The sequence below is a fragment of the Homo sapiens genome, chromosome 16 (genome assembly GCF_000001405.40).
Source record: "Homo sapiens chromosome 16, GRCh38.p14 Primary Assembly".
NCBI lineage: Eukaryota > Metazoa > Chordata > Mammalia > Primates > Hominidae > Homo > Homo sapiens.
This window is the reverse complement of record NC_000016.10, coordinates 49,065,766-49,089,767: the sequence shown is the minus strand read 5'-3', so window position 1 is coordinate 49,089,767 and position 24,002 is coordinate 49,065,766. Positions and strand designations below refer to the sequence as shown.

The window sequence follows — 24,002 nt, the reverse complement described above, 5'->3', positions numbered from 1 at the left end:
TTCACTGCAAGTCCCCCTCTGAGCTGCACAAGGTGGACCCTCTGCTGCAGCCACACTGACCCTGGTTTTCCTTTGTTGGTTGTCCCAGTCTTGTCTCTTGAAGCTATCTTTATTAGGAATGTTCTCCTGCACTCCCATGTTGCCTGGATAACTTCTATTCGCTCTCTGGATCTCAGCTCAGACATCATGTCCACCAGACCAAGGCAGGCCCTTCTGTGACACATTCTACACACCCTTAAGCTTTATTTACTTCAGCACATTTAGCCGTTGTAATAATGTATTTATTTTGGTAATTTTCTGGTTGTCCTCTCCTCACTAGATTGGCAGTCCCACAAGGGAAGAGATTCTGTTTTGTTCCTCAGCAGATCCCCAATACCTAGCATAGTGCCAGACACACAGTGGAGGCTCAGTAAGTCTTTGATGAATAACTGTATATGGGAAATAAGTATTGTATCCCTGTGTGGACTCCCTACAGTAATGAGAGGCATGAGACATATTGGAGTGGGGCCAGGGGAGACAAGGCAGTGATGCCTCATCTCGGGGGAGTGGGATTGCTGCCATCAAATACCCAAGTCGTGGGCCTTTGGATGAGGGAGGCAGTCTCTGTGTGTGTGAATTTATGGGCTACATGTACAATTTTGTTACACGCATAGATTGTGTAGTGGTGAAGTCAGGGCTTTTAGGGTATCCATCACCCGAATAGCCTACATTGTACCCAATCACTTATTTCTCATCCTCTAACTCCCTCCTACCCCCTTACCCTCTCAAGTCTCTGTTGTCTAACATTTTATTCTCTACTTCCATGTGTACACATTATTTAGCTCCCACCTGTAAGTAAGAACATGCAATATTTTTCTTTCTGTGTCTGACTGTTTCATTTAATAATAGTCTCCAGTTCCATCCATGTCACTGCAAAAGAAATGATTTTATTCTTTTTATGGCTGAATAGTATTCCATGGCGTATGTATACCACATTTTTAATCCAATCATTTGTTGATGGACACTTAGGTTGATTTCATATCTTTGCTGTTATGAATAGTCCTGAGATAAATATATGAGTGCAGGTATCTTTTTTATACAATAATTTATTTTTCCTTTGGGTAGATATCCATAGTGGGGTTGCCAAATCTGATGGTAGATTTTTGTTGCTGCTGTTGTTTATTTTTTAGCTCTTTGAGAAATCTCCATACTGTTTTCCACAGAGACTGAACTAATTTACATTTCCACCAGCAGTGTACGAGTGTTCCCTTTTCTCCACATGTTTGCCAACATCTGATATTTTTTGTCTTTTTAATCATAGCCATTCTGACAGGTGTAAGTCTGTTTCTCTTTGCTGCAGGGCGGGTCTCTGACAATGCAGAGAGCATGAAGAAGGCAGGAAGTGTCTCAGAAGGAGAATGGACTTAGAGCCAAGCTGTGAATTTTGAAAGTGGATTCTGTAATATTTTATGTATTTATTAAAGTTTCCATAAGGAAAGTTTGACTAGTTGTTTGGCCCTTTTGCTCTTTGTGCAAACCCTAGAATCACAAACGTAGATTCTTAGTTTCATAGAATTGCAGGATTAAGGATTATCATAGAGACCCAACTTTCTGCCCTCTTCCTCCCTATGCCGTGACTCAAGACGCAGCATTCTGTTGGAGCCGTCCCCGTGATGAGGAACTCCCACCTCCCAGCCTTGTCTAAAGTACGGGTTCCGTTCCACTCTTGCCTTATGCTTCTTGAGTGGTTGCCTTTTCGGTAATGTTTGAACTCTGTGTCTTCAGAGCCCTGTGGCTGGTCTCTGCATGGTCAACGAGCCACAGGTTTATAGCTTACATTGCTCTGAAATAGGATTTTTGATGAGAGATGTTGTTGCTAATAAAGATGGGCCTGCTGGCAAAACCAGCTATTAACTTGGCTTCCACCGGGCCCTCACTACCTCCACACAGATGACTCCAATGAGATAAATTACTTTTCCACCAGTAGAAACATGACCGTAATCAATATAGCTAGTAAATAACATGATTTTCAGAAGAAAAGAAATTACCAATTTTAAATACATTTATATCAACATGAAGCCAGGTTGGTCAAGATGTGTGTGAGTGCAGGCACCCATACCTGTGGCCCTTGGGAAAGGTACTCGAGCTGAGCGTTTGCCAATGCTCTAGCATGGCTGAGGACTCACCCTCTCCTCCGCCCTAGACCTAGGCCCCGGGAAAGCAGAGTAAGGATCATGTCAAGAGGAATTTGGTTCTGCTAGAAAAATGTGCTTTGGGGTCTCAGATCTCTTTTTTGCTGGAGGTTTGAGTCCTCTGCTCTTCCTTCCTTGGGCTGTGGAGTATTTTTCCAAACATTTGGTCCCTCTAGGTTTCATTTGTGTCATCTGCTAAGCAACAATAATTTTCCCCACGGAAGCACCCTCTAAGTAAGGCTGTAATATGGATCTGCTGACACATTGGAACAGCTCTGGAAATCTTCATGTCCTTGACACATACCATTTGGTCCTTCCATCCTACTTGCCCCCTTGCCTCCTTCATTCACATTTTATAACACTGCTGGGGCAAAGGGACTCCCCAGCTTAAACTTAACATCAGTTTTTGGGGATTAAGTTTGTCCAGAGCAGAGGCCGCAGGAGAAGCATGGTTGGAAAAACAGAGAATAAAAATAATAACAACATCAGCACTATCAAATATTTATTGAATACTCATTATGGGTTGGCCCTGTGTTAAGTAAGCATTTTACATCAATTATTTAATTCTTGCAACCGTTATGCTCTGTTATGATCCCTATTACAGATGATTAAACATAGGCTGGAGTGGGGATAAAAAAGCAAAAAGTGTTCTTTTAGGAAGGGTAGACAGGACAGGCCTCTCTGAGGGAACTCTATGTGAGCCATGAAGTGAACCTAAAGTGGGGCATGAACCCTGCAAGTAGACATCTGAAAGGGGCATTCCAGGCAGAGGAGTGAGCACATGCAAAGGCCCAGTGTCAGGACCTGCTCAGTGTGTGTGACAAACACCAAAGAGCATGTGAGGAAAGAGCTGTAGGAGATACATCAGCGAGGTAGGCAGGGTGAGACTTTTGGGCTCCTGAGGACTGTGGTAAGAAGTTTAAATTTTATTCTAGTGTGAATGTGGTGGCCATGAGAATTAAATAATTAGCCCAAAGCCATTTATGAACTGTAAAACATTAAACTTATGTGGTATGTTATTTTAGTCATTCATTCATTCATTCGTTTATTCATTCATTTAACACTCCCCCTTTGCTGGTCTATGTCCAGAGGGGGCTTTTTCAGGGAACTCAGATTCAAAGCACTCCTAGCTGTTTCCTGGATTCCAGATGGGCTGTTAATGGACCAGCCCTGTCCTTCAAAGATTTGTGAGCTAGGAACTGATCAGGTAGTAGAAGCCCAGAATAAGGTAGCCCCCAGGAATTGCCCCTTCTGATTCCTTTCCAAACTAACAAGCTATTAAAATAAGGCCTGCTCCCTGCCATTTGGAAATACGTAATGGGCCATTGCAAGATAGCCATAACCACTCTAAAGATGCGCTTGGGTAGTTTCAGGAGGAGAGTCTCATTTCTAAGCACCCAGAGATTTCCTCTTGGTAGTTGGTGTAGCCTATAAAGAAATTACATTAAATACTCTCCCCCCCATACCAAAAGGAAATGCAGAACCGTGAATTTACAAACTTGCTAAGCAGGGTCCTGAGGATTTGCACAGCCACACATTGGTCTGCAGGCCCTAACTCTGGATTAATCCTATGAATATTTGCAAAGAGCAAAGCAATAAAGTGTAAAGGTGCATCAGAGACATTAAATCATTCACAGATGCTGGCTGTAAGGAGTTCAAGCTGGGATGGAATTCCTGGGCAGTCACCCAAACCTGGAATCCTCTTTTCTTAAAAAGCAGAGTGTGCGTTTATTATTCTTGTCCTAAGACCTTGTAATTTTGCCAATTTCATGGGTTTCATCATTTCTCATGTTAGTTTTCTTGATTACAAATAAAGTTAAGCCTATTTTTTTAAAGGAGGAAGGATATGTATTTGTAAATGATGTTAGGCACTGATTATAGCAGCATAAAGCCGATCTTTTTTTTTTTTTTTTTGCCTGACATTTGCTCTTCTTTCTGGAGATAAATGAATGGAGGTAAGATATGTTATCAAAAGTAATACCACTTAGCCAAGAACATGTCTGATATGCCTATTATTTATCTCTTTTGCGTTATAAGCAGTTATGAGCTACCACTTCCGTAAGTCAAAGTAGCGAATGTGGACTTCTGCAACAGAAACCTCTCACATCTCAGTGGCTTATAACAGTAAGGATTATATCTCACTTGTACAAATTCCTGTGCAGCTTAGGTGTCTCCCCTGCATAGTTATGCTGCAGGTGGTGACACAGGGATCCAGGCCACTCTCATCTTATAGCTATGCCTTCAGAACAAGGAACTTCCAAGACTGTGGTGTCAGGGAAGAGAGGAGTGGAAAATTGTATTGGATGATTTTAAGAGTTAGCTTGGAAGTGACTTGCATTATTTTTACTCACATTCTCTGGGCTTGAATTCAGTCACCTGACACTGCCTAGCTGCAAGGGAGTCTGAGAAATGTAGAAGAGCACATGGGTAGATGTAAGCACATGGGTGGATGATGTGAGCACATGAGTATATGATGTAAGCACATGGGTAGATGATGTGAGCACATGACTAGATGTTAGTACATGACTAGATGATGTAAGCACATGTGTAGGTGATGTAAGCACATGGGTAGATGATGTAAGCAAATGGGTAGATGATGTAAGCACATGGGTAGATGATGTGAGCACATGACTAGATGTTAGTACATGACTAGATGATGTAAGCACATGGGTAGGTGATGTAAGCACATGGGTAGGTGATGTAAGCACATGGGTAGATGATGTAAGCACATGGGTAGATGATGTGAGCACATGGATAGATGATGTGAGCACATGGGTAGATGATGCAAGCACATGGGTGGATGATATGAGCACATGACTAGATGTAAGCACATGACTAGATGATGTAAGCACATGGGTAGGTGATGTAAGCACATGGGTAGATGATGTAAGCACTTGGGTAGATGATGTAAGCACATGGATAGATGATGCAAGCACATGGGTAGATGATGTAAGCACATGGGTAGATGATGTAAGCACACAACTAGATGATGTAAGCAGATGCGTAGATGCAAACACTTGGCAGTATCTGCCTTACACCCATGTATTGGCACTGGTGCTTGCTGGTAAGAGAGATTTAGGGGTATGAGCACACCCACCAAGGAACTTACAGCCTAATTGGGGGAAAAAAAAAGCCCTACAGAATTATGCCATATGGCAGAGGATTACTGGGGCATCATGAGAATTATAGATCAGTTGCTATAAATCTCTCCACACCTTAGATGGTGGTACAGGTAGAGAGATCAGCAATAACAAGGTGTGCAGACCAGAAAGCATGAGGTGTGTCTGACAACTGTGACACACACTTTAGTTAGAGACGAGGACATGTGAAGGGAACAAGTGGCAGAAAATAACTCTGAAAATGTAATTTGAGGCCAGATTGGGGACAGGATAAGGAGTTTCAGAAGCCATTGACTGTTCTTGAGAAAGGAAGGAAAGAATATTAAATAAAGCAACTAATTAAACAGTTCCACCAAGATAGGAAAAGTCTGCAATCACTTTGTGCCTTCCTTTCCTTATCTATAAAATGAAGGTGTTAATCTTTACTTTTTATGGTTGTTGTGAGGATTAAGTAAATAAATACATATAAAGAGTTTAGAATTATTCTTGATATAGTAAGTGGCTCACAGTAATATTAACCAAAGAATACGTAGTCTTGATGTACTTACATCTCCAAGGGAGATAGACATAACTTGAAGGACAATCTTGACCAGGTCATTAAAGAGATGGCCCAAATTGGTTGACAATCAGGATGAGAGAAGTAAAACATACAAGGTGAGGACAGAAATGATTTTCTGGAAGGTTCAGTACTTCACAAAGGCCATATTCCCCTCCATGTACTCTCTTGCTTTGAGAGAAAGCGTATAAAAGCATATTTTAGACTACATGGGGGCCATCCAAGGATCCAAGGAGTCCTGGGGAAAAGTACATGTTGGTTAAAAGAGTGGGTGCTGGTCTCAGACTGTTTGGGAGTGAATTCTGACTCTGTCATTTATTAGCTGTGTGATCTTTCACAGTTTATTTAAAACCCTGTTAAAGTCTCAGTTTCCACTGCTGTAAAATGAAAGTCATATTTACCTCATGGAATTGTTAGGAGGTTCAATGAGAAAACATATGTAAGATGCTTAGCATGGTATTTAGTTTTTACTAAGTGTTCACAAATGCTGGTTATTAGATTTTATTAATTAGAAGACATAAAGAATCAATTAAAAACTAATTCTGTAGCCAAATCAAGGGTCAACACAAATCCAAATATCTGGACATTTGAAAACAACTTGTGGATTTCATTCCATTTCTATTCACATGTTTAGAAATGTTTAGGTACCATCCCAGAGAAGTGAGTATATCTGGTCAGTTTCTTGCTTTTCCCAAAGGAGAAGCTTTAAACATATGTCAGACTTAGGGGGTAATTTAACCCTTACCTTAACCCAGGTTAGAAAAATCTTATAGTTCATTTTCGTATCTAATTAGGTTCCCATATGATTTTATTTTTCTATCTTTTTCCCAGCAAAATCTTGGGTCCTGTGCCTTTGAAGCAAATAGAGCTAGCTCTGTCCATTTGGAAGGAACTTTTAGAGCATTCAAAGGAAGGGCTGTGTGTGTTGATGGTGCTTCCTCTACCTCTCCAAAGCCACCCAGCCTCCAGGGCCTAAGCAGGGCTGGCTTCTGTACTCAGGCACAGACAATGGCCCTTTCCTGACCCTGTGCCTGCCCCAGTGCAGCTATGCTAACTCTAGTGCCTCTCCTAAGATATAAATTATAGTCTAGGACTTTATCTGCCTGGTCACCCAAGGGGCCAGGTAGCTTAAAAGACCACCATTGGCCGGGCGCGGTGGCTTGCGCCTGTAATCCCAGCACTTTGGGAGGCTGAGGCAGGTGGATCACGAGGTCAGGAGTTCAAGACCAGCCTGGCCAAGATGGTGAAACCCCGTCTCTACTAAAAATACAAAAATTAGCCATGTGCGGTGGCAGGCGCCTGTAATCCCAGCTACTCGGGAGGCTGAGGCAGGAGAATCGCTTGAATCTGGGGGACAGAGTTTGCAGCGAGCCGAGATCATGCCACTGCACTCCAGCCTGGGTAACAGAGCAAGACTCTATCTCAAAACAAAAACAAACAAACAAACAAAAAAATCACTGTCCCCATTGTATCCTGTTGAATCTTCCAGAATCAGTCTCTCTACTTAAAGCATCTTCCTTCTCTATTAGCCAAAATAAAAGAAGCCTCATTTCAAGTCAGGAAAATAGTTGCCTATCATTCTGTAAACAGTCAAACTCTGAATCTAGTTTGGGCTCAGAGGCCCCTGTCCTAACCCTACCCGTATGCAACCCTACCCCTATGATATGTAGGACAAATTCAGGCAGGATAAAGGAGGAAGAACATGAAAAAGTTAGAATTGCTGTATTTAATTCAGTTCTGCAAACAGGTATTGATGCCTGCTGCATGCCAGGCCCTGCTCTGGGCACTGGGAGTGAATAAAGGCCTGTCAGTGGCCTTAAAAGGCACAAGTAAAGTGGGGGAGAAAAAAGATTAATCCAACAAAGAGAAAGTCCATCTAGCAGGATAAGTACTATACTGAAAGCAATTATCACATGATGTATCCGCACAGAGGAGGGGGCAAGGGTGTCAGAAAAGGTCTCTTGGGGGACATATTTGTCCTGGATTTCCAAGATTGAATAGGAATTCTGCAGGTGGAAAGAGAGGTAGGAAAATGAATAAAGGGAAGAAGTGTTCTCAGATCTTCCTATTCAGAGTGTGATCTACAGACCAGCATCATCATCACCTGGGAGCTTATGAGAAATGCACAGTCGCAAGCCTCCTCCCAGATATGCTGAATCATAATCTGCATTGTAACAAGATCTCTGCCTGATTCATAGGCACAGTAAGACCTGAGAGTGCTCGTCTAGGAGGAGTGAACAGAGCAGAGGAAGGGAAGATAGAAATCTGGGCCTCTCCAGGGAATTACAAGAAGCTTAGATTAGCCAGGGAGCCAGCCAGGGGCAATGGTAGATGAGACTAGAAAGGCAGATCCCACACCCACACTACGTTTACAAGGAAGAAAAGATCCTTCTTAACCTAAATTCCCCCACATGTAACCCCCAGACCTTTCCAACAGCAGTAGAGACTCAAACCATGACCAAGTGTGGGGAGCTGGGAGCTTGACTCTGGCATCTGCCTCACTGGAGGCCAGAACAGACCTCGGTTTGCATTTACTCCTGCAGGCTGAGGTCTGCTAGAGCCGATTCAGCTGTTTACCTCTGCCCACATCATGAGGCTGCTCTGATGAAAGTTCATACACACCAATCAATCAGGCCGATTTCAATTAACTCTAATTGTTCTGTTGGGATTCCTTGCTAGTAGCTAAGATGTGGTGAGACACTGGCATGACTTCATCATGGCCGTCAGAATTCCCATCGATGCTGGAGGTGGCTCACCCTGTTCTGAACTCTGCAGACCTCTGTGTACAATGGTGTGCATGCGCGCGTGCGTGTGTGTTTGCGCGCCCACCCATCTATGGAGCACACAGTATAGCTCCTCAGAACAACTCATTGCCTTGCTCTTTCCTGTGGTTCCTCTTCTGGGAGTAAGGGGAAGACCCATTGACAGATGAAAGATACAGGCACTGGTAAATCCATGCACAATTGCTTGACCTTTGGGTCTCCTTTCCCCCACCTCTAGGCACAGTCATGGGACGCTTTCCTCATCTCTTACTCGTTCCATCCTTGTCCACAGATACCACATGTCCCTTCACATCGTCTTTGCACATGCTGTTCCCTTTGCCTGGAATGCCCTTCCCCTTCTGCTATCTTCCTGGAGAACTCAGCTGCAGTTGTGCCTCCTCCCTGAAGCCCACGGTGGTACTCCCAGCAGAGTGTGTGGAGCTCTCCTCTCCCTGTCTATAGTGTATAACTTGGCTTTTTCCTGAACATTTCTCATGCTGAACTGAGGCTGGGGTTTGTGGGATTCCTCCAGGGCAGGGATTATTTAACTTATTTTTGTCTGCATTTTTACACCAAGAACATTTCTTAGCACACAGTAGGTATTCAATAAACCTGCAGGGAAAATTCTACTCTATTGGAATTGAGATGGAATATTATTTTGTGAATAAGTTTAGTCAAGTAATAAGAGTGAATTTTTATTAAGTATGCATCATGATTTAAAGAATATTAGAAATATAGCCCCAAATCTTTTCTCAATGCTGCTTAAACATCCATAAGTAAAAAATGGACAACAGATGTGAATTGGGATATTGGGAGAAGGAAAGCTTAGAGAACGTGGCAATTTTGCAAAGACTGGACCAACAGGGATAAATGATGTCTCTCCGAGGGCTACTCTGAGCCCCAGAGAAAGAACCCAGAGCCAGGTCAATTCAAGGAGCTTTTGCAATCCCTTCCCAGTTAAAAAAGACCTCTGCTAGTATGGGCAATGAGATATAGATGAGGAACTGAAGCAACCAGGAGAGACAGGTTCCAGCTCCAGCCACAAGCTCCCATCAATAGCAGTGCAGTGACCACTGGATTGTGAGTGAGGGACAAGATGATGGGGAGCTCCTTATGTGCCTGGACTTGACACAAGGTCATCTGCATCAAGTTGTCCAGGGGAGTTCAGGGTGGCTGAGGAGAAGGCACGTTAAGAAGATGAGTACAGGATCCAGAAGAGCTGGGTTTACATCCAGGCTCCACCACTGACCACATGACCTTAAGGAAGTTTCTTGACTTTACCAAGACTCAATTTCTTTATCTAAAAAATTGAGATATTTACAGAAGCTTCTTCATGGGGCTGGTTGGGAGAATTAAACAGTGCTTAGAATTGTGCCAGGCACACCATGCAGGCTCAATTAATGGGGGCTGCTATTGTACCTTCCTACCTGACAGTCATCCTTACCAGAAACAGAAAAAGGTACCCATCACAGTCCAGGAGTGTGTGGCTCCTGCAGTGAGGGTCAGATGCCAAGCAGAATAAGAGGCACAATCGTCCTCTAAGTGAAGACCTCCTCCTTCCATCCACAGCACTGTCCACTGGGTCTTCACAGAAGCTCAGAGCATCAAGAGCCACAGCTCAGACATGTGGCCAGATGGCCTAGCTCTTAGTCCTGGCTGTGCCATGGGACCTTCAGTGAGACTTGAGGTCTCTCTGGGCCTCAGTTTCCCTCTCTGTAAAATGGTGCCATTCACAGTTATCTCAGGTGGACTGAGTAACATGATACATCGATGCATGCAAGAGCGATTGATAAGCTGTGGAGCATGGGACGGAATGATTACAGTTCTGTTTGGTGGAGTGGGCTCATTTCTTGTTAGGATTTTTGTTGGACCTGGATGGGGAAAGAAGAGGAAGATTCTTGTTTTAGTACGTATCACTCAAGGGCCTTTGAAATCTGTCAGACTTCTCTTGGACACCAAGTTCATTTTATTAATTAGTTAACTTATTTCTTTATTTTTGAGATAGAGTCTTGCTTTATTGCTCAGGCTGGAGTGCAGTGGTGCTATCTTGGCTCACTGCAACCTCTGCCTCCGGGTTCAATTGATTCCCCTGCCTCAGCCTCCTGAGTGGCTGCGATTACAGGCATGCACCATCATGCCTGGCTTATTTTTGTATTTTTAGTAGAGAAGGAGTTTCACCATGTTGGCCAGTCTGGTCTTGAACTCCTGACCTCAAGTGATCCACCTGCCTTGGCCTCCCAAAGTGCTGGGATTATAGGCGTGAGCTGGACACCAAGTTCATTAGGGCTTTAACAATTCATTCATTCAACACACACTCACTGAGGGCCTCCAACATGCCGGGTGTCCTGGGTGCTGGGAATATATCCTTGAATGCAGCATATAACGACTTTGGATATTTTCACTGCCCTGTGGGCCCCCAAAGTCCAGGCAGTCCATGCCACATGGCTATGAATGTCACATCGCAGTCTATGAAAGATGAGACAACCCCAGCCCAGAGAGGTTAAGAAACTCGGCATGTTACTTAAAATAGCACAAGTTGGTGGAGGAGTTGAGACGTGGTTAGATTCCAAGGCCTCATAGTATTACGGTAGAATGATGTTAACAATTTAACATAGCATGGTGACCTACTGAGAAATTACCCTGTGCTTGATTTTAGCCATTTTAGATTTAAAAAAAAAAAAGGAAGGAAACTTCCAGCATCCACACCACCCCATGATTGACAGGTCTTTTCTCCTAAGGCCTCAGTTTATTCAAGATGGGGAAGGAGAGGATAAGCATTGTGAGTCCTCTTTTTTTTTTTTCTTGCAAGATCCACCCAGTTCTTCAAGGGGTTGTAAGTACAGGGACATATAAGTCTTAAATCTCTTTACGTCTCCTCTCCCCTCATGGATACTCAATGAATAAGTGTCAAACAGAATTATGGCTGATAGAAAAGTCACTTTTTTGTGGGGTACCAGGGAGAACTCATATCCTTGTCATTAATATTAACTTCTAGGGCTTCTGGGGTTTCCCTACAAACCTGTTCAAGTCACCCTACTGCATTCTGATAGCTTCCAGGTACTTCTCCAAAGTTCCTAGCATGAAGCATCTTGTAGTGCCAGAAAGTAAGGAAGAAAAAAAAAAAAGAAAGAAAGAAAGAAAGAAAAAGAAAAAAGAAAAACAAAAACACAACTATGGGAATATGTCAAAGGGACATAGAAGCCAATTGAAAAAAGCTCCCAATGGCCAAATAGGGAACAATTTCAGCAACGAAATAAAAATAATATTGGATTATAACTCAAAGTATAAAATAAACATCCATAAGTTCAAACTGATATAAAAACATGATTAAATAAATACATAAATAGGGAAGAATAGACAAATCTCCCATGTAGAAAAAAATTCCAACAGCTCTTCCCTAATCTACAAGGCCCAGACTGATCTGCCCCTCCCTGCATCTCTGGCTTCATCTCCTGCCACTCTTCCCCTTATGCACAGTGTTCCAGCCACAGTGCATTTCTGGGGGCCTTTGCATCTGCTATTGCCTTAGCCTGGAACATTGTGCCTCCGATTCTTTGCATAGTCAGCTGCCTCTTGTCATTGAGGTCTCAGCTCAATGTCACCACTACAGGGAAGTCCTCCTGGATCACCCTGACAACTCTCTATTCCTTTGACCTGTTTTATTTTATTGATCGCACTTGTTATTTCTAAAGTGATCTCATTTACTTGCTTATTCATTTGTTTATTTGCATTGTCCCCTAGTTTAAAAAAATATGCCACAAGAACAGTAATATTGTCTGTCTTTTCACCACTGGGTCACTGATTCCAGTATTGAGAACCTACTCTGTGCCAGGTACCCTGCATGGCATCAGTGGCCCAGTGGTGAAATACATATATGAAATAAATTAGTAAACGAATTAATGCTTATCAATGTCCACATTCTTAGAGCCAGGCACAGTGTGGAGCATAGACTAAGGGTGAATATAGTTTTGAATGTGTACATCATTAACAAATAAGTGAATATACTAGGGGATGAATGAGCAAAGAATGATTGAGTATGAATACGTGAGTAAAATGTGTTTATAAAATCCTGGGCTGGCCCCATCTAATGCATTACTAGTGAATTCACCTGTCAGCTCATTCTGCAAAATTGTCCTGCATACCGGGCTGTAGAAAGTTAGCCTGGTTGGAGTTTATGGATAATTTGTACCTCAGCTTCAGAGATCCCTGTTTTAGGTAGGGAGGAAAGGAAGCCTGTGAGCTTCTCCTCTCTAAACATTTAATGAGGCTTTTGGAGCAGATAATTTGGAGAGGATGCTGCAGAGATGAGGACTGGGGTATAAAAATAGATGGATTTCCTTATTGCAATGACTCCTGGTCATATTTTCCCTGTGTGACAGAATGATTAAAACTCATAAATTACTATTAATGTTGAAGTGAGCACATAGTGAACCTGGAAACATCTCTTCTATTTTAGATCCAGGTCTCAGGAGCCCTCGGGGAAGGTTTGGTGGCTGCAGAAAGGACTTTCTCTGAGAATCCAGAAGTGACATCAGGGAAGAACCTCAAAGGATCCATGGTCCCCCAACACAGAGCAAGTGACTGCAGCTCCTAGAATCTCTTCCTTCAGGGAGGCCCAGAGAAATTAAGTGTTAAGAGGCCTTACCCTCAGACAACATCTTCTCTCAGCCTCTGTGGCTACAGTATGTACAGTGTGCTGAGTGTGGAAGGACCTCTCTCCCCATTAAATCTGTAGTGCGATCACATGGAAGGCATCTGAGGACCTAGAGCAAGGAAACATGGCTATCCTGCCCCACTGTGGTCCCGATCTGGGTACTGAATCAGCATCTTCCAAGGATTTTTAAAATAGAAACCCCCAGTTCTCAGCCTACACCAATGAATCAGAATCTCTCAGGATGGGGCTCAGGGAAGCTGTGTTTTTAAAAACTCCAAGTACCTTACTTACCTTCTCACCATCATGAAAATAGAAATGAACAAAATTAACAAGGCAACAATTTCCAGGCACTGGACCAGAGGCACAGTGCAGAACTGTGATCTCTGAGAGGAGGGCAACACTCAAGGGAGGGAGACCTGTGTTTGCCCAGGTTCTGCCCAGGTGAAGCACAGGGAGGGGAAACCCAGGCAGACCACAGTGGTCTGATGGAGCTGAGCAGAATTCGGAGCTTGGGCTGCTGAAGTGGCTGGCATATGTGGGGGCAGAAAACAGGAAAGGAAAGCTGCAGAGGGAGAGAACAAAGACCCCAGAAATGTGTATGCGCATGTCCTGTGGGCTGTTGGTTGAAGCCCGGGCTTTGAAGAACAGAGCAAGACTTGGTGGAGCCTAGCAGAGAGCAGCTGCTAAGGGCCTGGGAACAGAATGGAAACATAGGGAGACTCTCTGCAGGGCTGGGAGTTCCAGCTCAGCTAGAATGGAGAAACTCTGGTGTGCATCTCAGTGGAGACTGCATAAAGGCCATGTATTAGGAATAAAGACTACGCTTCTAGGAGAAGGACTACACCCTAGCACAGAGTTTCTTGGTATCAGCAATACTAGCATTTTAAACAGGTCATTTTTATTTTCCCCTCCGGAGACAGAGTTTCACTCTTGTTGCCAAGGCTGGAGTGCAATGGCATGACCTCAGCTCACTGCAACCTCTGCCTCCCAGGTTCAAGGGATTCTCCTGCCTCAGCTTCCCAAGTAGCTGGGATTACAGGTGTGCACCACCACGCCTGGTTAATTTTTGTATTATTAGTAGAGACGGGGTTTCACCATGTCGGCCAAGCTGGCCTTGAACTCCTGACCTCAGGTGATCCACCCACCTCGGCCTCCCAAAGCACCGGGATTACAGGCGTGAGCCACCATGCTCAGCCCAGGTCATCTTTTTTGTGGGGATTGTTTTGTGTATTATAGGATGTTTAGCAGCAACCTTGCCCTCTACCCACAAAATGCCAATAGCACCCCACCCCCATTTATGAGAAACCAAAATGTTTCCAGATATTGTAAAATGTCCCTGGAATGGGGAGCAAAATTGTTCTCAGTTGAGAATAACTGTCCTAGTATAACGGCCACATCTTATGACTAATGATGAAATGAAAATAGACCAGTCCTAACAACAACAACAAAACAACAAAAGAAAACAAAGTGTAATAGGATCATGAGAATTCATCAGTATTTAAATGTCTAAATTAATAGCCAAACTCATAACATTTAAAGGAAAACAACATAATCCAATCTCCCTACAAGGTATCATCCACAATATCCCACCTACAGTGAGACAAGTGAAACAAACAAAAAAATATGATCTATAATCAAGCAATTGGTAGTCAATAGAAACAGACACTTAGATGGCACAGGTATTGTAATTAACAGAAAGACTACAATAGCTATTATAAATGAGGGGTCAGGAAATGTAAAGATGGATCAATAGAAATTATTCAATCTGAAGAACAGAGAGTAAAAAGAGTTTTTTTAGAAAAAAATGAATAACCATTGCTATTGACTTTAATGTGTCAAGATTTTCAATGGAGAAAGAAAGTCTTATCAGCAAATATTAATAGTATAGAAGAAATTGGATAGTGACATGGGAAAAAAGAACCCCACACTACATACAAAAATCAGCCTGAGATGAATCAAAGATGATTTAGATTTTAAAAGTGAAGTCTAAAACAGTACAAAAACTGAAAGAAAGCATAAGAGGATGTGATTTTGGTAAGCCAAAGTTTCTTAAGTGGGACACAAACAGCAACCAACAATAACTATAAAAGAAAAATATGATAAATTGCATGCCATCAAATTAAAACCTTTTGTTTCTCAAATGCACCATGAAGAAAATGAGTAAGCAAGCCACAGATTGGGAGAAAATATTCCCAAAACATATATTTCACAAAGGACTGGTGTCCAAAATATAAAAAGAATGCATACAACTTTTTAGAGACAGGGTCTCATTCTGTTGTCCAAGCTGGACTGCAGTGGTGTGATCATAGCTCACTGCAGCCTGAACTCCTAGGCCCATGTGATCCTCCCACCTCGACCTCCCAAGTAGCTGGGACTGCAAGCACATGCCACAACACCTGGCTCAATTTTTTTTTTCTTTTTTTATAGAGACAAGAGTCTCCCTATGTTGCCCAACCTGCTGAGCTGGTCTGAAACTCCTGGGCTCAAATGATCTCTTGGCTTGGCCTCCCAAAGTGCTGGGATTATAGGCCTGAGCCACCGTGCCCAGCCTAAATCCCCAGTTTTTGAAATAAGCAAAATAAATTTGAACAGACATTTCGCAAAAGGAGATCCATCATTGGTCAATTACCACATGAAGAGTGCTCAACATTGTTGGTCTTCAGGAAAATGAAAATTAAAACCACGATCTGTACAAATTCATCCAACAAAATACCTAAAATTCAAAAGACAGAAAACATTCAGTGTTGGAAAGAATATGGGGCGATCAGGACTCTTGTGAACTGTTGGTAGAAATATAAAAAAGTACAACCAGTTTGAAAAAAGTTCCAACAGTTTCCTTGTAAAATTAAATAAACACCTGCTTTATGATCAAACAATTCTACTTCTAGGTATTTACCCAAGAAAAAGGGAAATACACATTCACAGTAAAAGACTTGTTCAAGAAGATTCATAGTAGCTTTATTTACAATATCTAAAAGCAGAAAACAGCCCACGTGTCATTAATAGTAGACTGGCTAACTAAACTGTGGCAACTTCACATTGTGGAATCCTACTCAGAAGCAAAAACGAACAAACTCCTGTTACATGCAGCAACATGACTCTCAAAAAATCATTAAGCAAAGAAAAAAACTTACAAAAAAGAGTATATACTGCATTATTTTATTTATATAACTTTTTTTTTTGGACAGATTTTCACTCTTGTCACCCAGGCTGGAGTACAATGGCATGATTTCGGCTCACTGCAACTTCTGCCTCCCGAGTTCAAGTGATTTTCCTGCCTCAGCCTCCCAAGTAGCTGGAATTACAGGCATGCCCACCACACCTGGCTAATATTTTTTATGTTTTAATTTTTATTATGTTTTTATTTTTAGTAGAGACAGGGTTTTACCATGTCGTTCAGGCTGGTCTTGAACTCCTGACCTCAGATAATCCACCTGCCTCGGCCTCCCAAAGTGCTGGGATTACAGGCATGAGCCACCATGCTAAGCCTATATAAAGTTTTATGAGAAACTTTAATAATAACTTCAATTTTCCATAGGTTAATGTAAAATTAATTAAACTGGTGAAAAATAATTACAACAGTGGTTGTCTCCGGGGAGGAAATTGACTAGGAAAGAGCATGAGAGAACTTTCCGGAGTGATGATAGTGTTCTACATCTTGATAGAAGTTTGTGTTATGCAAGTGTATGCATTTGTCAAAATTCATCAGGTGGTACACTTAAAATTTTAAGTGTGTCATTGATGAGTTTTGACAAACTATAGGTATAAGGTTTATACGTATGTACTTGTATCTAGATATAAATCTTACCTTTGAAAAGAAACCACAAACAAATATTAAACTCTTGTAATAGTGTCTATGCTATTACATGGATTTGAGGACAAACTGTATTGATGCCCACAACTTACTTTGAAAGCCATCCTAAAATTAGATGGATTGATGGATGGCTAGAAAATGAGCAGATGGTTAGATATGTGATAAAACAAAATGTTAATTATGGAATCTTAGTGGTGAGAATATGGGTCTATAATTTCTTCAATTTCTTATATGTTTGAAAAATTTCATAATAAAATATTAGAAAGTAGATGAACAGAAAGTCAGTAACTAGTGGGTCAAAATCAAGTTGTCAAACATATGCACAATTGAATTTCCTGAAGAGGAAAAAGAAAGAATGGAGAAAAAAAATTCGGGAATAAATAATTTCCAAAATATCTCCCAAATTGGTGGAAAACGTCAATGTACAGATCCAAGAATTCTAAAGAACTTTAAGTTGGATAACTACAAAGAAGACAGTATCTAGGTGCATCACGGTCAAACTGCTAAGAAACAAAAATAAAGAGAAAATCTTTAAAGCAGCCAGAGGAAAAAAGTCACATCATGTATGAAGGAATGATTAATTAAATAATAGCCGATTTCACACCAGGAAAAAAAATTGAGCCCAGAAGACAGAAGGATGGTATCTTTAAAGTGCTTGGGGAACAACACCAGTGCAACATTCTATGTCCTACGCTCCCCCAAAGCAAAGCACAAACAAAACGAGATATTCTTCAAAAACAAGAGGGATAGAAAGACGTTCAGATAAGCAAAAGCTGAAGCTGTGTGCCAACAGGGAATATGTGTTATAGGAAGTGCCAAATAAAGTTCTCAAACTGAAGGGAACTAGCAACAAATAGGAAATCCAATCTATTGTAAGAAAAGAAATGGAGAGCTTTACTAATAAATAGTAAATATATGTATAAAAATAAAAGACTCAGTTTTATTTCTTAAAAATTTTAAAAGACACCTGACCATTTAAAGCAAAAAATAATAACATTGCATTGTAGAATTTGTAGCTTATGTATTAGTAAAGCATGTGACAGTAATAGCACAAAGATTGGGGGAGTGGTAAAAAGAATTATACTGTTTTGGTTTTACATTTTATGAAAAGTGGCACCATATTACTTCTAAATTGACTATGGAAAATTAAAGATACATCTTTTTCTATCTGGGGCAACTACAAATAAGAATATACAAAAAGTATAGCCAAAAGCCAACTGAAAAAATAAACTACAACACTACAAAATATTTAATTAGTGTGAAACAAGGCAAGAAAGAAGAAAAAAAAGCCCATAAAATAGTAAGATAACAGACTTAGTTATGTCAATATTTACATTAAATGTAAATGGACTAAACGTTCCTGTTAAAAGACAGAAACTGTCTGAATAGATAAAAATGCTAGACACAACTATATGCTGTCTAAGACATGCTCTTTAAATATAAGATGCAGGTCAGTTAGACACACGGAACATGTGACAGGAGAGAAGTGAAGATAACAATGTCAATAGACACAAGGTCAGTATACAAAAATAAACTCTATCGTAGCAGCGCACAACAGGAAAACATAGTTTAAAAACAATTCCACTTGCAAAATGTAAAACCATACATGCTTAGACATAAATATAGCAAAATATGTTCAAGGCCTTTGCATTGAAAACCAGCAAACATTGCTGGGATAAATTTAAAAGAAGATTTAAATAAATGGAGAACTATACAATACTATGGATTAGAATACTCAATATTTTTAACATGTAATTCTTGTCAAATTGGTGTATATATTAAATGCAAACCCCATTGAAACACCAATGGGCATTTTTAAAGAAATGAATAACTTAATTGTAAAATGTACAGCAATGCAAAGGACCTAGAATGTTACAGCAATTTTAAAAAAGAACAAAGTTGGAGGAGTCACACTACCTGACTTAAAGATTTGCTAATAAGCAACAAAAATCAAGACAGTGTAATATTGTCATAAAGATAGATATATGGAAAGATGAAATAAAATTTAAAGCCTAACATAGATTTACACATCTACAGTTAGTTTATTTTCAATAATGTATCAAGGCAGTTCAAAGGGGGAACAGAAAGTCTTCAACAAATGGTACTAGAACAACTAAATAACTGTATGGGAAAAATTCTAACCTCTACCCCTATATAATACCATGCAAAAGTTCAATTTGTACTAGATCATAGAACTAAATGTAAATGCTTAGGCTCTAAAGCTTCTAGAAGAAAACATCTTTGAAAATCATCATGGCTTTGAGGTAGGCAAAGATTTTTTAGAGTGGGCCTTAAAAGCACAAATTATTTAAAAAAATGGTAAATTAAACTTCTAAATTTAAAACACCTCCTTAACAAAAGACATCATTAAGAAAAAGAAAAGGGCCAGGCATGATGGCTCATGCCTGTAGCCCCAGTACTTTGGGAAGTGGAGGTGGATGGATCACTTGAACTCAGGTGTTTGAGACAAGCCTGGCAACAAGGTGAAACCCCATTTCTACAAAAAATACAAAAAAAAAAAAAATCTGGGTGTGGTGGTGTGCACCCGTGGTTCCAGCTATTTGGGAGGCTGAGGTGGAAGGATCGCTTGAGCCTGGGAATTTGATGCTGCAGTGAGCCATGATGATGCTGCTGCACTCCAGACTGGGTGACAGAGCAAGACTGTGTCAAAAAAGGAAGAAAGAAAGAAAGAAAAAAAGAAAGAAAAGGAAAAAAAGAAAGAAAGAAAGAGAAAGAAAGAAAAAGAAAGAGGGAGGGAGGGAGGGAAGGAAGGAAGGGAGGAAGGAAGGAAGGGGAAAGAAATAAAGAGAGAAAGAAAGAGAAAGAAAGAAAGAAAGAAAGAGAAAGAGAAAGAAAGAAAGAAAAGAAAGAAAGAAAGAAAGAGAAAGAAAGAAAGAAAAAGAAAGAAAGGAGGGAGGGAGGGAGGGAAGGAAGGAGAAAGAAAGAGAAAGAAAGAAAGGAAGAAAGAAAGAAAAGAAAAGGAAAGGTGAACAATTCACTGGGCAAAGAGTATTTGTATATCTGACGTATATCTGACACAGGACTTGCAGTATATATATAATTCATATAATAATTTAAACAAGTATAACACCCTCCAAAAAATGAACAAAAAGACTTGAAAACTCATCTTACAAAAAAAGATATATAAATGACCAAGAGTCTCATGAAAAGATATTTATCATCATTTGTCATCAGAGAAATTCAAATAAGATTATAATGAGATCCTACTTCACACCCACTAAAATGGTTAACATTAAAAACTTGTCATCACTAAGTGTTGAAAACAATGTGAAGCAATGAAAACTTTCATACTTTGCTGGTGGGAGTGTAAAATGTTACAAGCACTTTGGAAGATTCTTTGACAGTCTCTTATAAAATTAACTATACAACTACTCTATGACCCAACAAATCTTTTCCAAAGTTAACCTAATTGCTAACGGAATAGGCAGTGAATAGAGATATAAACAAAGGAAACAAGATCATTTCAGATTGTAGATATGATCTGATCAGATAATGTTTTTAACATGCTTAGCAAGGTTATTGTGGTGGCGGCTGCTGTCGTTTTTTATCAATCTATGGGATCCTGGAAGGCCAAATTGGTTCTGAATCATTCCTAGCCTCAAGTACAGTGCCCAGACACATTTATAAAAATGTTTTATTGAATGGTTGAATTGGAATGCATGAGTGAACTGGAAGGAAATCAATGAACCCAGATCACAGTTAAAACAAAGCATGTACGCTCCAAATCATGAGATACTATTGATGTGAACAGGTGCTTAGAGAAGAAGATGGGCTGGAGAAGTCTGGGAAGGCTTCCTGGAGGAGGTAAACCCTGAACCATGGTTCTAAAATGGTTCAGATACTGATGGCTAAATAAGAGGAAAACAGAGCTAAGCTGAAGGGAAGATTCAGATGAGAAGAAAAAGACTCTGGAGGGAAGCCTGGTTTGAGCCATATTATACTTTGTGTTAGTAGTTGAAATCGTCCCTATAAGCTTTATAAAATTAATTAGGGAAGAAGGGAGGGGGATAAAGGAAACAAGCCCAGCTTGCTGCACACCCAGCATTCATCACGAGGTCAGCCGCTCTCTGAGCTGCTTGCTCAGGGTTGTTTGGTGCCTATTGTCCTAGAATCCCATAGACCCCGTTACAGGATTATCGATCTTCTTAAGTGAGCTATAGGTAACAATTTGAACATTATGAAATGTTAAGTTTTCCCCTCAAAAGATCCCTTCAGTTCCTATATACGGATGAAACTGCTGACTCAGCTGGTCTCATGGACCCCCACAAGAAGCTGACTCACTGAGGAATGCAGTTTCCACATCCTAATGACTTCATCCCCCTTTCCCCAACCAATCAACAACCCAATTTTTCAGCCCCTTCACCCTCCACCATCCCCTTAAAAACCCCCAGCCCAGAATCCTGTGAGAGATGGATTTGAGGGTCTTCTCCCATCTCCTCATTCAGCACCCTGTGATCATTAAACTCTTTCTCTGCAGCAAACTCTGCTGTCTCAGTGTAATTGTCCGTTACTGCACAGCCGTCATACCAGCCCGTTGGTCTATAACATAGTCATCTATGGGGACAGGTGGAATAAAGGCTTGCTGATGACAACTGTGAAACAAGGTGGGGGTTCTTCTCAGCCCTGCTGTCAGTCAGGCACTCAACAACTCACCACTTAGCAGTACTCAGTCCACACAGTCACACAGGGCTCTCTAAGTGGTGGCTTCAGGATGTTTGTTCCCTCTGCTCACCTCCCCTGTCCTGGTGGAAGTGTGTGAACCATTTATTATTAGCCTGCTTTCTGAGTGTCCCTGGCTGACCTCCCAGCAAGCTGCTGATGGAGAAGCTTGCTTCGGAGGTGATTTTGCAACTGCAGGAGTGGATGGGGAGTTGAAGGGGCAGGACCAGAGCCAGTCTGAACACTGACCCTAAATTCAAACTAGCTGCACTAAGTTGTTAAACCCTCCATGAAAATCTAATTTAGAAATTGAATTAGAAACCTAACCTAAATAGATCATTTTAAAACATCAGTGAACAATTTCAAAGCAGAAACTTATATATACATATATATATACACACACATATATATACACACACATATATATGTATATATACACACATATATATATTTAAATTAGTGACTTGGTCAGTGGTTTTAAACATTAAGGGACATCAAGTGCACCTGGAGGACTTGTTAGAACATAGATGCCACTCTCCTGCCCCATCCCCAGAGCTTCCAATCCAGCAGGTGTCTGGCGAGGCCTGAGAATTTGCATTTCTAAAGCATTCCCAAGTGATGCTGATGATGCTGGTCCAGGATCATACTTAGAATCCCTCTCCTAGAATTATCTAGGAGCAGCGACATATTCTCCAAACCTGAACTACACAGGTTCTTTTTTGGTTCTTGTTACATCTTTCATTTAGAGCGACAACTGTAACACTGACAACGACTAAACTTCCCGAGTGGCTTCCTCTAATGCTATGGCTTTTAATCTTGTTTGTTTTAAAATAACCTTTGGAAATCTGATTTTTAAAATTGTATGAGTCCTCGCCACAGAAAAGTTCATGTGGACAGGTGCACACAGAATTTTACTTGCATTTTGCTGTCGTTGAGTCCAGAGTATATTATTTTAATTGGTTCATGCCGATTCCTGGATGCCAGGCTAAGAAAATATGCTAAAATAAGCCTGCAACAGCAGGCTACACATGCGATGAAGAACAGGGGTTCAGTGATCTCCAGCCCAGCTGTGTGATTTTGAGCTAACCGATTACCCTCTCTGAGACTATAAAGAGGGGGCTTATGATACCTTCCTTTGGTTACCTCTGGGGAATGGGTCTTAGAAAGTTGGAGAACACATCTTTAATGTTTATTTGATATGCTTCTTTACTCTTTAAACTTTATGCTGTGTGTAAATTTAAACACAACACACCACACACATGACAGACCATATTTACCAAATGCCCTCTGTTTATATCACTATTATATTAACATACACCATATCACTGCTGGGAATATTGGTCTATCGATCCCACCTTATATCATCCCAAGGCATAATACTATGAATATTTATTATAAATACTCTTATAACCTTAAATATACATTTCATACTCTCAATTAATAATCTTTTTTTTTTTTTCTTGAGATGGAGTCTCTCTCTGTTGCCCAGGCTGGAGTGCAGTGGCGCGATCTTGGCTCACTGCAACCTCCGTCCCCTGGGTTCAAGCAATTCTCCTGCCTCAGCCTCCTGAGTAGCTGAGATTAGAGGCACCATTCACTACACCTGGCTAATTTTTGTATTTTTAGTAGAGATCGAGTTTCACCATGTTGGCCAGGCTGGTCTCGAGCTCCTGACCTCAGGTAATCCGTCCGCCTCGGCCTCCCAAAGTGCTGGGATTATAGGCATGTGCCACCGTGCCCCAATTAATAAACTTTAACACCTTTGGTGCCTACAAATGAAATTTTAAAATTCTGCTTCTATGGTTGTTTTTAGTTCCCATGTATGTGACAATGAAACCACACTAAATGGTGAATAATTCAAACGAAGTAAATAAAAGTGGTGTAAATATTAAACATGCATCCTATTCTTTCTGGGTTATTTGAGACTCAAATGGAAATATGTATATGAAAGAACTTTGGAAATGTATTTTGTGCATCAAAAGATCATTACTTTTGCCACGGCCATTGTCATCATGCCTACCGGGTTGGAAACCCTTCCAAGGGCTTCCTGAAAACTCCTTTCTCTCTGCCAGTAGCTGAAACCCATTTCCTTCACACCAGACTATTTTGGGTAGAAAAAAGAGCAGGTGGAAGGCTCTTCTTAGAAAGAAGCCCAATTCTTTAACATGCAAATGCTGGTGTGAGTATGTGCGTGTGCATGTGTGTGCATGCCCGGGCAGTTGTGTGCACATGTTTGCATGTGTGGG

General features: G+C 41.0%; 1 long non-coding RNA gene and 1 pseudogene across 2 annotated transcripts in view; both read left to right on the top strand.

Annotated features, from left to right (window-relative positions):
* Positions 1–18,001, top strand: part of LOC105371241 (uncharacterized) — a 50,969-nt gene extending 32,968 nt beyond the window's left edge. The window contains exon 4 of one of the 2 annotated variants that reach the window (XR_001752138.3): positions 13,065–18,001. This is a non-coding gene — a long non-coding RNA (uncharacterized LOC105371241). The remainder of the gene's footprint in view (positions 1–13,064) is intronic. The other variant, XR_933517.3, reaches the window with a different exon arrangement.
* Positions 23,039–23,201, top strand: MTND4LP25 (MT-ND4L pseudogene 25; annotated as a pseudogene).